Source organism: Homo sapiens, chromosome 10, assembly GCF_000001405.40.
Source record: "Homo sapiens chromosome 10, GRCh38.p14 Primary Assembly".
Lineage (NCBI taxonomy): Eukaryota > Metazoa > Chordata > Mammalia > Primates > Hominidae > Homo > Homo sapiens.
The window spans coordinates 133,024,494-133,035,724 of NC_000010.11; the positions used below are offsets into that span (position 1 = coordinate 133,024,494).

The 11,231-nt window shown below is 58.0% G+C and overlaps 2 annotated features.

Annotated features, from left to right (window-relative positions):
* Window positions 5,362-5,975: an enhancer, noted in NCBI's record as "H3K4me1 hESC enhancer chr10:134843359-134843972 (GRCh37/hg19 assembly coordinates)". NCBI's record gives its function as "activates a minimal SCP1, AML or CMV promoter by ChIP-STARR-seq in primed H9 embryonic stem cells {active_cell/tissue: H9 hESC(primed)}" and the evidence as "EXISTENCE:reporter gene assay evidence [ECO:0000049][PMID:30033119]".
* Window positions 6,590-7,203: an enhancer, noted in NCBI's record as "H3K4me1 hESC enhancer chr10:134844587-134845200 (GRCh37/hg19 assembly coordinates)". NCBI's record gives its function as "activates a minimal SCP1, AML or CMV promoter by ChIP-STARR-seq in naive H9 embryonic stem cells {active_cell/tissue: H9 hESC(naive)}" and the evidence as "EXISTENCE:reporter gene assay evidence [ECO:0000049][PMID:30033119]".

Here is an 11,231-nt window from a genome sequence, read left to right on the forward strand (position 1 = left end):
TTTTGTTGACTTAGGTCGGACGTGGCTGCCTGAGTCTGCATCGATCCTGCAGCTGGAACAGCATCTGCCCTGGCTGGTTCGGGGCCACTGCCCCCTGAGCGTTCCCGAGAGGTCCCTGAGAGCTCCTGCATTGTCTCGGGGGTTCAGTGAGCAGTTTGAAGGCAGCATCCTACTTTTACACTGCTTTTGACTTTTTTCCTCCATGAATTGAACACTTACTGTCTCTGAAAACTTGAAATCGGCTCCTTTGTCTCCAGGAAGCATAAGTCAGTCATGTAAAACTTTGCCCCAAGCTTTCAATCGCTTTTAAATAACAATCGAAATGTCACTGGATCCGCTCTTGCCGCCCATGAAGCTCTCACTCCTCCCGCCTCGGAACGCAGAGGTCTGTTCCCTCCCATCTCAGAGTCACACACCCGACAACGAAGTCAGCTCTGGAGATGCTGGCAGGGGCCCCAACCGAGAGTGGCAGCAGCGGGCATTGCAGCAGACTTGATGGCCTGTTGGGCGTCCAGGATTTACGGCCACGTTATTTTTACCATCTCCTTTTGCCATGAGACCCGGCAGAGCAGTCCCAGAGTAACACTTGGCGGGGCTCGGCTCTGCGGAGATGTGGCCACCGGGCTCCCTCCGCGTCCCTCGAGGCTGTGGCCACTCCCGCTCCTGCCTGACTTTGGGACCACAGGGTGTCACATCCAATGTCTCATTTCCGTAACATTTGGAAAGGTAACCGGCAAGACATGAAGACTAAGGTTTTCGAGGTTAGCCCTCCAATCTCCCTAAGGCTCCCTGGAGAGGCTGGACACCCTGTGTTATCTGATCAGCACGAGGGAGTGAACCTTAAAATGGGGCAGCTCCCATCACGCCAGCTCCCTGCCTTCTGTCCAGCAGTTCCCAGCCCTGTCTGGGGACAGCACTGGCGCCCACACAGAGGATGAGGAGGGCTCATCAGAGGTCTTCTCCACACGGCACGAGGTGGCATCCCCGGGCCATGGCTCCCATCTGCAGCAATGCGCCCTGCATCCCTTCACACAGCAGGTGCATCCCCTCACCTGCAGGTGCACAGCGGCCAGTGGGCTGGGAGGGTCTTCCTCCAGAGTCCTGAAACAGCGGAGATAATGTGGCATTTTGGCATTTGGGGACACGCTTAATCTTTGGTTTCTGTTTATTTGCCAAGAACCTGTTGCACACCTGTGAAGCCCAGGTCCTGGTGGGGGGAGGATGAGGCAGGGGCCCCCACTGCCCCCCCTTGCAGGGATGGGCTCAGAGGTGCAGTCGGTGAAGCCTAAGTGAGGGCGGGAGCAAGTGTGGGAGCTGGAGGGATCTGGGGTGACAGAGCCTTTGCCAAACAAAGAGGGAAGGAGGGCCCTGCCGAGCACGGAGCATGGGGTGTGTAGGTGGGGAGGGTCCCGGGTGGGCCTGGGAGGCCAGCCGACCCCCAGGAGAGTGTCAGAGCAGAGGCCAGTGTGGGCAGACGCAGGCCCTGAAGAGAGAGGTGGGTGGAGGACGAGGCCTTGCTTCTGAGTGAGAAGCCAAAGGGTGGGACCCACAGCTCTCGGGGCAAGAGGAGCCAGGAACAGGGCAGAGCTCGTAGCCTGATGCAGGCTGGGAGCCACACAGGGCAGTAAAATTCCCCAGTGAGGAGCTGGGATGTGTTCTGCTTGGGAGGCAGGATTTCCTCGACACACGGATGTTAGGCAAAGAAGGGAATGGGGAGCCCAGGACTGCAGCCTCCATCTCTCTCCTCAGGGGCAGGTACTCTGTGTGGGTACCCGCTTGGCTCCTCCAGTGGGGCCCCTCAGGTGCCACGGTGATGCCCCGTGGCCCACATCAGCCGCCTCCTCACAGGAATCCCGCAGCACCAGCCTCCTCTGCACCAGCAAGGCAGGCCCAGGCTCCAGCGGGGGCTTTGCAGAGGACATGTCTACCAGTCCCAGTCCACAGGGCCAACCCCAGCCCACTCACTGCCCTGCTGGGCCTGCTGCCTGCCGCCTTACAATGTGTTCTGGGGACAAAACTCAATAGTTACCAACAGACCCGCATTTCCTGGCAATTCTTGCCTTTAAAATCCTGATGTTACTTTCCAAAAGTAAATGGTTTAAACAGGCTCACAATTATTAATGATTTACTATGCTGGCTTGGAAAAATCAGCAGGACGTCTCTTGTCCAGCGGCGACACAGAACTAGACACACAAGGCTCTCAGCTGCAGCTGAGTGGGGCCGGGTGAGTCTCTGAGTGGCCTTGGACCCACTTAGTGCCCACCGCCTTTCTTGCTTGTACTTCTCAAGAACCACTGCAGATTCTTGCTGGGAACGCAGCATCCTGAGAGAGGGGGGAGCTGACCTGGCAGCCGGGCTCTGTTCCTGTCCCCCGTAGAGCAGGTATGCTGTGGGACCACAGCCAGAGCAGGGTATCCAGAAGCACCGCGGCCCAGGCAAAGCAGGTGTCCTGCAATACTGAAGCCTGGTGCATGCTGTCCCCTCGGTGTGGACCCAGAGCAGCACCTTCTGGATCCCTCTGCGGCAGTGCAACATGGGGCACACGCAGACGAGGCCCGTCCTGCCCTGGGCTGCTTTCCTGAGCCTGGGGACCAGCTTGCCGCCAACCCTGTGAGCCTGGGGACCAGCTTGCCGCCAACCCTGTGAGCCTGGGGACCAGCTTGCCGTGGACCCTGTGAGCCTGGGGACCAGCTTGCCGCCGACCCTGTGAGCCTGGGGACCAGCTTGCCGCCGACCCTGTGAGCCTGGGGGGCCAGCCTGCCGTGAACCCTGTGAGCCTGGGGACCAGCCTGCCATGAACCCTGTGAGCCTGGGGGCCAGCTTGCCATCAACCCTGTGAGCCTGGGGGGCCAGCCTGCCGTGAACCCTGTGAGCCTGGGGGACCAGCTTGCCGTGAACCCCGTGAGCCTGGGGGACCGGCTTGCCGCCCACCCTATGAGCCTGGGGGCCAGCTTGCCTTGAACCCTGGGCTTCTGTTCTCCCTTGCTGCCTGTCTGGGTAATCAGGTTGCTCCTCCTAACTTGTGTGAGTGCTCTGCCTCGCCCAGCTCAGGCAAACACTCTGATCCCCACGTGTGTGAGCTGCACGGTGTTTCGAGTCCTCTCCTGAGGTTGGTACCAGTGCACTGTGAGCCCGCTTCACAGAGCTCACAGACAACAGCTTTGCCTTGAAATCTGAGCTGAACGCATGGCACAGAATGTGGAGCCCGTGACCTCAGCAATCAAGCCGTGAGGGCCTTGCAGGGAGGCAGCCGGCTCACAGTCCTCGGGTGGCGTCACCTTTGTCATTTGAAAAGTCAGCAACAGGTGCTTTTTTCTTCTTTCATGATCAGTTGACCAGTAGTCAGGCTAAGCATGGATCGCAGGACCAGCCTTCCCGAGTTCTCTCTGACGTGGGACTCAGCCCAGATGTGGCCTCCTGGGGAGCTCCTTTCTGCTCTCCCAGCCCACCCCTAGAAACAAGAATCTCTTTTGTTTGAAGTACTTTCTCCCTTCTGCACTGACCTTTATCTTGGTGTTTGAGGAGTCAGTTACTTGTGCTGCGCCTGGAGGTTTTGATGCTGGAGAGCAGGAGGTGCATCTGTTTCATCTCTGCACCTCAGTGTACCCAGGAGTCAGAGGGGCTCAGTGTGTCTGTTGAGTGAACAGCAGGATGAGTGGATGAATGAATGGATGGACGGGTGGGTGGGTAGATGGATGGGTGGATGGGTTGGTGGATGGATGGGTGGGTGGAGGGGTGAGTAGATTATTAGGTGGGTGGGTGGCTGGGTGGATGCATGGGTAGATGGATGGATGGGTGGGTAGGTGGATGGGTGGGTGGATGAGTAGATGAGTGGGTAGGCAGATGGGTGGATGGGTGATTGGGTGGATGGATGGATGGATGAGTGGATGGGTAGGTGGATGGATGGATGGGTGGATGGGTGATTGGGTGGATGGATGGATGGGTAGGTGGATGGATGGATGGGTGGGTGGATGGGTAGTTGGATGGATGGGTGGGTGAATGGATGAGTGAGTAGGTAGATGGGTAGATGGGTGGATGGGTGGGTGGAGGGATGGGTGGGTGGTTAGATAAATGGGTGGGTGGGTGGATGGGTGGATGGTTGAGTAGATGGGTAGGTGGCTGGATGGGTGAATGGATGAATGGATGGATGGGTGGATAGGTGGGTGGATGGGTGGGTAGGTGGGTGGATGGTGAAACTCGGGGGCTATTCCCTTGGGATAGGTAGCTCTGGTGAGGACAGGGGTGTGGGCAGCAGGGTGGCCATGCTCTAGCTGAGGCCTCTTGGGAGGATAAGACCCCTGTTATCATTCACTCATTTAGGATAGAACATGGCTGCATAGAGCACCCCTGGAATTTTGCCCAACCCCTGGGTTCTCTGCCCTCCTTCTAGATGTTGTGAATAATTTGGGAGCTTGGCACTTCCCTGGCAGGGCCATCGCCACCTTCAGGGTTGCCCAGTTCACACTGAGTGAGCAGTCCCAGGATCAGGGCAACACAGTTGCCAACGGACCCGTGGGCGTGTGGTGGGAGGCTGATCTCCGCTGTGTCCCATCAGAGGGCATCTGCAGAGGGTCCAAGGGCGGCCACAGCCGGCCCAGCTCCACAGGCGCAGTTCCTGGGCCTCATCCCTAAGGGTGAGGGTCTAGATTGCCCCGAGGAGACTCAGGTTGACCAGGTGCCGGCCAAGCCACGGAGCAGCTGAGCAGCAGTGAACACGTCTCCCTGAGAAGCCAGCAGCTTGCACCGGGTTTGAGCTGAAGCCCAATTCTCACCGGCCACGTTCCCAGGCTCTGGGTTCGGGGCTGCAGAGCTGCAGGACCGTGCAGTCCTTTTAAGTGTGAATGTTTTCACCTTCCTGTTTCACCTCGCCAGGGAATGAGGCCATGCCCCCACCCGCTTTCCTCCGACTTCTTTTCAGGGAGCTGATTCAGGGGAGCCTGGATACCAGAGCCTCGGGGGCCAGGGGGTGCCAAGCCAGAGTCCCCACGAGATGCAGAGGAAAAGGCAGTGCCAGGAGGCGTCCCTGATGAACGGGCAGCTTAGTTTTGGATCACTGGAGGCTCAGGGCCATAGTGAATAATTCAGCATCCTAAATAAAACATGAGAAAGTTTAGATGAACCAGCATTTTCCATTCTTTTCTTCAACGAAAACTGCGTGACAATATTGAACCAGGATGTCATCCGAGCGCCACACGGTCCCTTCCTGGGTTCTCTCCCCAAAGGCAGAGGCTGCTCCTGAGCCTTGGGCCATAGGAATTCAGGGCATCACACTCCCAGAGGGCCGTGAAACAGCTGGACACCTCACCGCATGCCTGGGCTGGAGTGGTGTCACAAGAACAGAGATTGTTGCAACCCAACAACGTGCCGGGAAACCCAAACCACAGGTTCCCCCGTTCCTCCAGGACACCCAACAACGCGCCAGGAAACCCAAACCACAGGTTCCCCCGTTCCTCCAGGACACCCAACAACGCGCCGGGAAACCCAAACCACAGGTTCCCCCGTTCCTCCAGGACACCCAACAACGCGCCGGGAAACCCAAACCACAGGTTCCCCCGTTCCTCCAGGACACCCAACAACGCGCCGGGAAACCCAAACCACAGGTTCCCCCGTTCCTCCAGGACACCCAACAATGCGCCGGGAAACCCAAACCACAGGTTCCCCCGTTCCTCCAGGACACCCAACAACGCGCCGGGAAACCCAAACCACAGGCTCCTCCTGTTCCTCCGGGACACAGGAGGCCACGCCCACCACGGGGGAGGCGCCGGGGTCCCGTGTGCCGGGGTCTCTCAGTGACACGGGAGCTCCTTGTCCACAAGGGCAGGCACCTCAGAGCCACCTGAGTTTCAGGACGTCCCTGTTCCATTGCAGAACGCATGGGTGGTCCTCGAGCCCGGCTCTGGCCTGGTCCCACCGAACCCCTGGGTGTCCAAGGGCTCTTCACAGACAGACACACCCTCAACCCACCAGGCGCGGGCAGGTTGGGAGACGCACAAGAAGCTTTGGAAGCTGGACTTCAATTCGTCTTTTCTCATTCAACACAAAGACGTCACTCATTCGCAGGACGGACTCTGCCTCCCAGGCCTGGACCCCAGTCACTGGGATTGGACGTTCCAGTTAAAAATACAACTTTAGAAGCACCTCATTTGAGCTGGCCTCGAGAACAACAAAATAGTCTCACACAGAAACTCCAGGACCACTCGCAGCTAGCACCAGTACATGCGGTTCTCGTCCTCTAACAGCAAAAGGTTTGTTAAAAAAAAAAGAGTCTGCACTTTCCAACAAAAGCCAAGGACGCCTGTCACTGTGCAACCATCAAAGGGAAGGCGGATGCATCCCTCATTATGCGCTGGCCCTCAGAGTCCGCTCCGTTTTATTTGTGAACCACGCATCAAAAGCCCACTGGTTCCTCCGGTGTTGAAGGCAGGAATTCAAGAATGCAGCTCAACGGGCCCGCCCACTGCGGGCCAGGAAGCCGGCTCCGAGCTGCCTTTGAGGACGCACCTGCCGCTGGCCGAGCTCCGCGGCGCTCTGAGGTCTGATCTCGCAGCAGATGGAAGAGTGGAAGGAACATCGGAAAGACAGGCGCTGCCTCCTGGGATTGCAGCTGGAGAATGCTCCGTGCCGCGGAGGCCGCGTTGGAGGCCCAGGTGGTTTTTATAATTGATGGTGGATGAGAAGACCGGGCCGCGGGTGGCATGTAGGCACCTGGCACACACGTCGTCTTTGACCTGCTTTTAAAGCACATTCCCGTGTGTCGTGAACAACGCTGTCCCCGGCGTCTGCTCATCAAGAGGTGCGAGGTGCTTCTGCCGGTTTCTCCTCCGCTGGGGACGCAGGCCGGGAGTTTGCTGCTCTTTCACTTGTTTAAAGTTTTCGTTGTCCTTCTTCATCCGGAGCCCGCGTTCTGCTCTCCGTGTGTCTTCCAGCGTGATTAGCGAGCTGTGGGAATGGGGGCAGTTTTTCTTCCAAGCTTCCGCTCCCTGGGAACTGCAGGAACCCTACAGGCGGCCAGAGATGCAGGAGGCTCTGCTCTTGCAGTGAGGTGGATCCCCAGCCGGGATTGCCATTTAGGGTGAGATGGAAGAGGGGAGCCGCGCTCCATGTCCCCTCTGAGGGGCCCAGCCACTGGCCGACTTGTCCACCTGGCCGGAGGCACCTGCCCAGCCTTGTTCCTCTCCAGCCCCGCAGAGCTCAGGCCCAGCATCCCCATAACTGGACAGGGTGATGGGACTCCCAGCAACCACAGGCACTCATCGCCAGAGGGGGACCAGCTCCTTCAGGCCTCTCCCTGCTGAACGGGGCTGCACTGGGCCGGATCCAGCTCCTTCAGGCCTCTCCCTGCTGGACGGGGCTGCACTGGGCCGATTCCGGCTCCTGTGGGGCCCCACGAGGCTCCTGGCTCCGGTTCCTGCTGGCTGTCCATCCTCCCGGCCTGGCCACATGTTCCTGCTCCGATTTCTCTGAGCCCAGCTCTTTCTCGCCCTGGGCCCGTGTCCTGGCTCATCCCCCTGCCAGGAATCAGCCTCCCCCACTCCTGGTATAGGGGTACAGCATGGCCGTTCCCCCACTCCCCAGGGCTCAGTTCAAGGCCTCTCCCAAGAGAGGCCATCCTGTCTCCCACACTGTGTGCTCACTTGGGTCCCCCAGCAGGAGCTCCGAAGACAGGGGCCAGTCTGACTTGTCGACGCTGTGGTCCCAGCACCAGCCCGGTCTTTCCATGGAGGCTCCCACAACTGCCTGTCAGATCAATCAGTCGATTGGCCTGGAGCCTGGGGGTAAGGCAGGGGCATCCCACCTGAGCCGATCAGGGGAGCCGGCACCCAGCCCTTGTAAGGGCTCCATCCTGGGATTTGAGATCTGTCTGTGGGTGCAGGTGGCGGGAGGCGTGTGGGGTGGTGGGGGTCATTGACCGGCCACCTAGAAAGTAACAGAGGGGCAAGAGCTAGCCGGGGCACGGAGGCCATCACTGGGCACCAGGTGCTGAGGCACCAGACAGGTGGGGCTCGCCTGCTCCAGAGGCCTGGGCGCAGAGGGCGTCTTTGCCAAACAGCCCAGAGTTTCTATAGTAGCTCCCACCTGAGCTCACAGCCTCATGGAGCACAGAGGCCGGAGGGCCATGTCACTGGCGTGGGGAGTGGGGAGTGGGGCTGCCTCTGCTGGAGCCCCCCAGGCAGCTCACGCTGAAGGCCAGCCCAGGAGGGGCCTCTCTGTGATGGACACTGTCCTCTCCCTGCCCCCTTCTCCCTCCTCATGGGAATGTGGCTATCCCGGGGTCACTGTGGGTCAAGGGAGAAAGTGGACACGGGTGTCCCGGGGAGCAGACACCTGCAGGTGTGCAGAGAGCAGGGCCTGGTCACAGCGCCTCGGTCATGCCAGCCCAGGGAACCCTCTGCTGTGGTGCGACCTCCCAACCTCGTGTTGCAATGTGATCCCCCGTGTTGGAGGTGGGACCTGGTGGGAGTGTGTGGGTCACAGGTGGATCCCTCAGGAGGGGCTTGGTGCCCTCCCTGGGGCAGTGAGTTCTTGCTCTGAGTTCCCCAGAGAGCGGCCTGTTGAACAGAGCCCAGCACCTCCCTCCCCTCTCTCTTCCTTTCTCCGTCCCCATGACATGCTGGTTTGCGTTCGCCTTCCACCAAGAGTGGAAGCTTCCTGAGGCCTCACCAGAGGCAGATGCCGGGGCCACGCGGCCTGTGAAGCCTGCAGAGCTGTGAGCCAAAGGAAGCTCTTTTTAAATAAATTACCAGCCTCAGGCAGTCCTTTATAGCAACACAGACGGACTAAGATCCCCTCTCTTCCAAGGGGGTGGGCACCTCCACCCTCCATGCTCCTTGGGCAGCCTGGGGGCCTCGACAGCAGACCCCCACTCAGCTCCTGCATGTCTGAGACCTGACCCTGTCTGCATGCTCTGTGGCCACCAGGCCTCACGACCAAGGCCCAGGCGTGTGGGGTCAGGCAGCCAGGAGGGCCAGCTCTGCCCAGAGATGCGGCCCTGGAGGAGTGGAGGCATTGACAGTGCTGGTCAGGGTCGTGCACCCCCTCTGCAACCCAGCCTTCTCAAGACCACACAGGAAGGCCAGCCGAGCCACAGGGCGGGGCTGCAAACCCTGACTGAAAACCCACTAGCGTCAGAGTCCTGGGGAGGCGTGAGAGCGAGGCGTGATGAAGGCAGGAGGGGAGGGGAGGTCCACAGGGCCTGGAGGGAACCCTGCGAGCTGAATGGGTTCCTGGGCCAAGGCCAGCCTGGGAGGAAGATGGAGGCAGCCACTGTGGGGAGAAAATGTAGCAAAGAGGGTGGCGGGCAGGGCAGGCAGCTCCCCAGCTCCTCAGCCAGCGGCCATCCCCACCCAGAGCCCGTGAGGCTGGAGAGGATCCACCAGAGTCTCCGATGGGAACGTGGCCGAGCCCTACAGCGGCAGCACCTCTCTCCACAAAACTCTCAGGAAGAGCAGCCGGGGTCCAACCGCAACGCCGAGCTCAGGAAGGAATGAGAGAAAAACACACCCATGGCAGGGAGGAGAGCCTTGTGGACAGGCCTGGACTGCAAAAGCAGAGCTGGGGAAGCGGCAGAGGCCTGAAGAAGCCGCAAAAGAATGGAACCAAGTCACCAAGTCAAAGTCCCAGTGGAGGGAGATGCAGGGACACGGGGGGTCCACAGAGGTGCTCCCGGGGAAAGAACAGAAACCCAGGACAGAAAACACAAAGCCGTGGACGATGAACGCTGTCCTGAAACACCCAGGCAGACACGACAGCACGGCCAGCAGAGGCCTCTCCCCAGATTGCAGGAGGAAACAGCATCCTATGGGTACTCAGGCAGAAAAAGCAGGTCACATGTGGGGAAAGAGATGCCTGTCCACAGGCTTCCCACAGAATCCCAAGGCCCAGAAACATGTGAATTCTGCATAAGGAAACTATGGTCAAAAATAGAATCCCAGGCAATAGAGACAGCAGCAGGAATTTCTCACATACGAGGGCACCGAGGGAATCACACCCGTCAACACTGCTCCCATGTGGAAGGAATAAAGGAATCACACCCGTGAGCTCCTCTCCCGTGTGGAGGGAATGAGGGAATCACACCCTTGAACTCTTCTCTTATGTGGCAGGTTGAGGGAATCACACCCATGAGCTGCCATCATACATGTAGAGAACCCAAGGAATTGGGCAGTAGAACTGCTCTTGAAAACTGACTATTGCCAGAGTCCACCCAACCAAGACAGAGCCAGAATGAACCTCACATTTGGGTAGTCACAGCACCACGATGTTGCCCGGGAGCCCCTTCCATGCTAAGCACTGGGAGAATCACGGCTCTAGGACGCAACACTCATACTGTGTGCTTTGCATGTTGATATGGTTTGGCTGTGTTCCCTCTCAAATCTCACCTTGAATTGTAGTTCCCATAATCCCCACGTTTTGCGGGAGGGACCCTGTGGAAGGTGACTGGATCGTGGGGGTGGTTTTCCCACGCTGTTCTCGTGATAGTGAGTGAGTTCTCACGAGATCTGCACGCCTGGCATTTCCCCTGCTCACACTTCTCCCTGCTGCTGCCTTGTGAACAAGGTGCTGCTTCCCCTTCAGCCATGATTGTGATGAGAATGAAGCTCTGATTTTCTCATGTTGCCCAAATTCCTATCTAAGGAGTCTGGGGAGTCATGCCCTACAAACCGTAAATTCTCATCAGATGGGTTTCATTTAACCCTGTATATCGTGACTTACTATCTAATCTGACTCTGGCATAACAAGCGAAAACATCGAAATGTTTTACCCTAAAATATATTTTCTTGCTATACCTTGAAATTGCCCTCCAAAGTCTCCTGTGGGAAAAATCCTCATTCTGTAAAGAATCCTCTTCCCCTTTGTTTCCTTTCTTTGCAGATCCAGGAGATAACCAACTAAGAGCCAGGCTCCCTTTTAGGTCTAATAAGAAACATTTTACAACCTGCTCTCTCTCTGAAGTCTGCTATCGGAGAGCTTCCTCTGGACAATAAAACTTGGTCCCCACAATCTTTTATCTCAACCTGAACATTCCTTTCCACTGATCCCAGGTCTTCAGATAAACTCAACCAATTGTCATCCATAAAATGTTTAAATTCACCAACAGCCTGGAAGCCCCGCTTGAGTTGTCCCAACTTTCTGAACCAAACCAGTTTATCTCTTCAATGTATTTGATTGCTGTCTCATGCCTCCCTAAAAATGCATAAAACCAGGCTGTACCCGACCACCTGGGGCGCATGCTC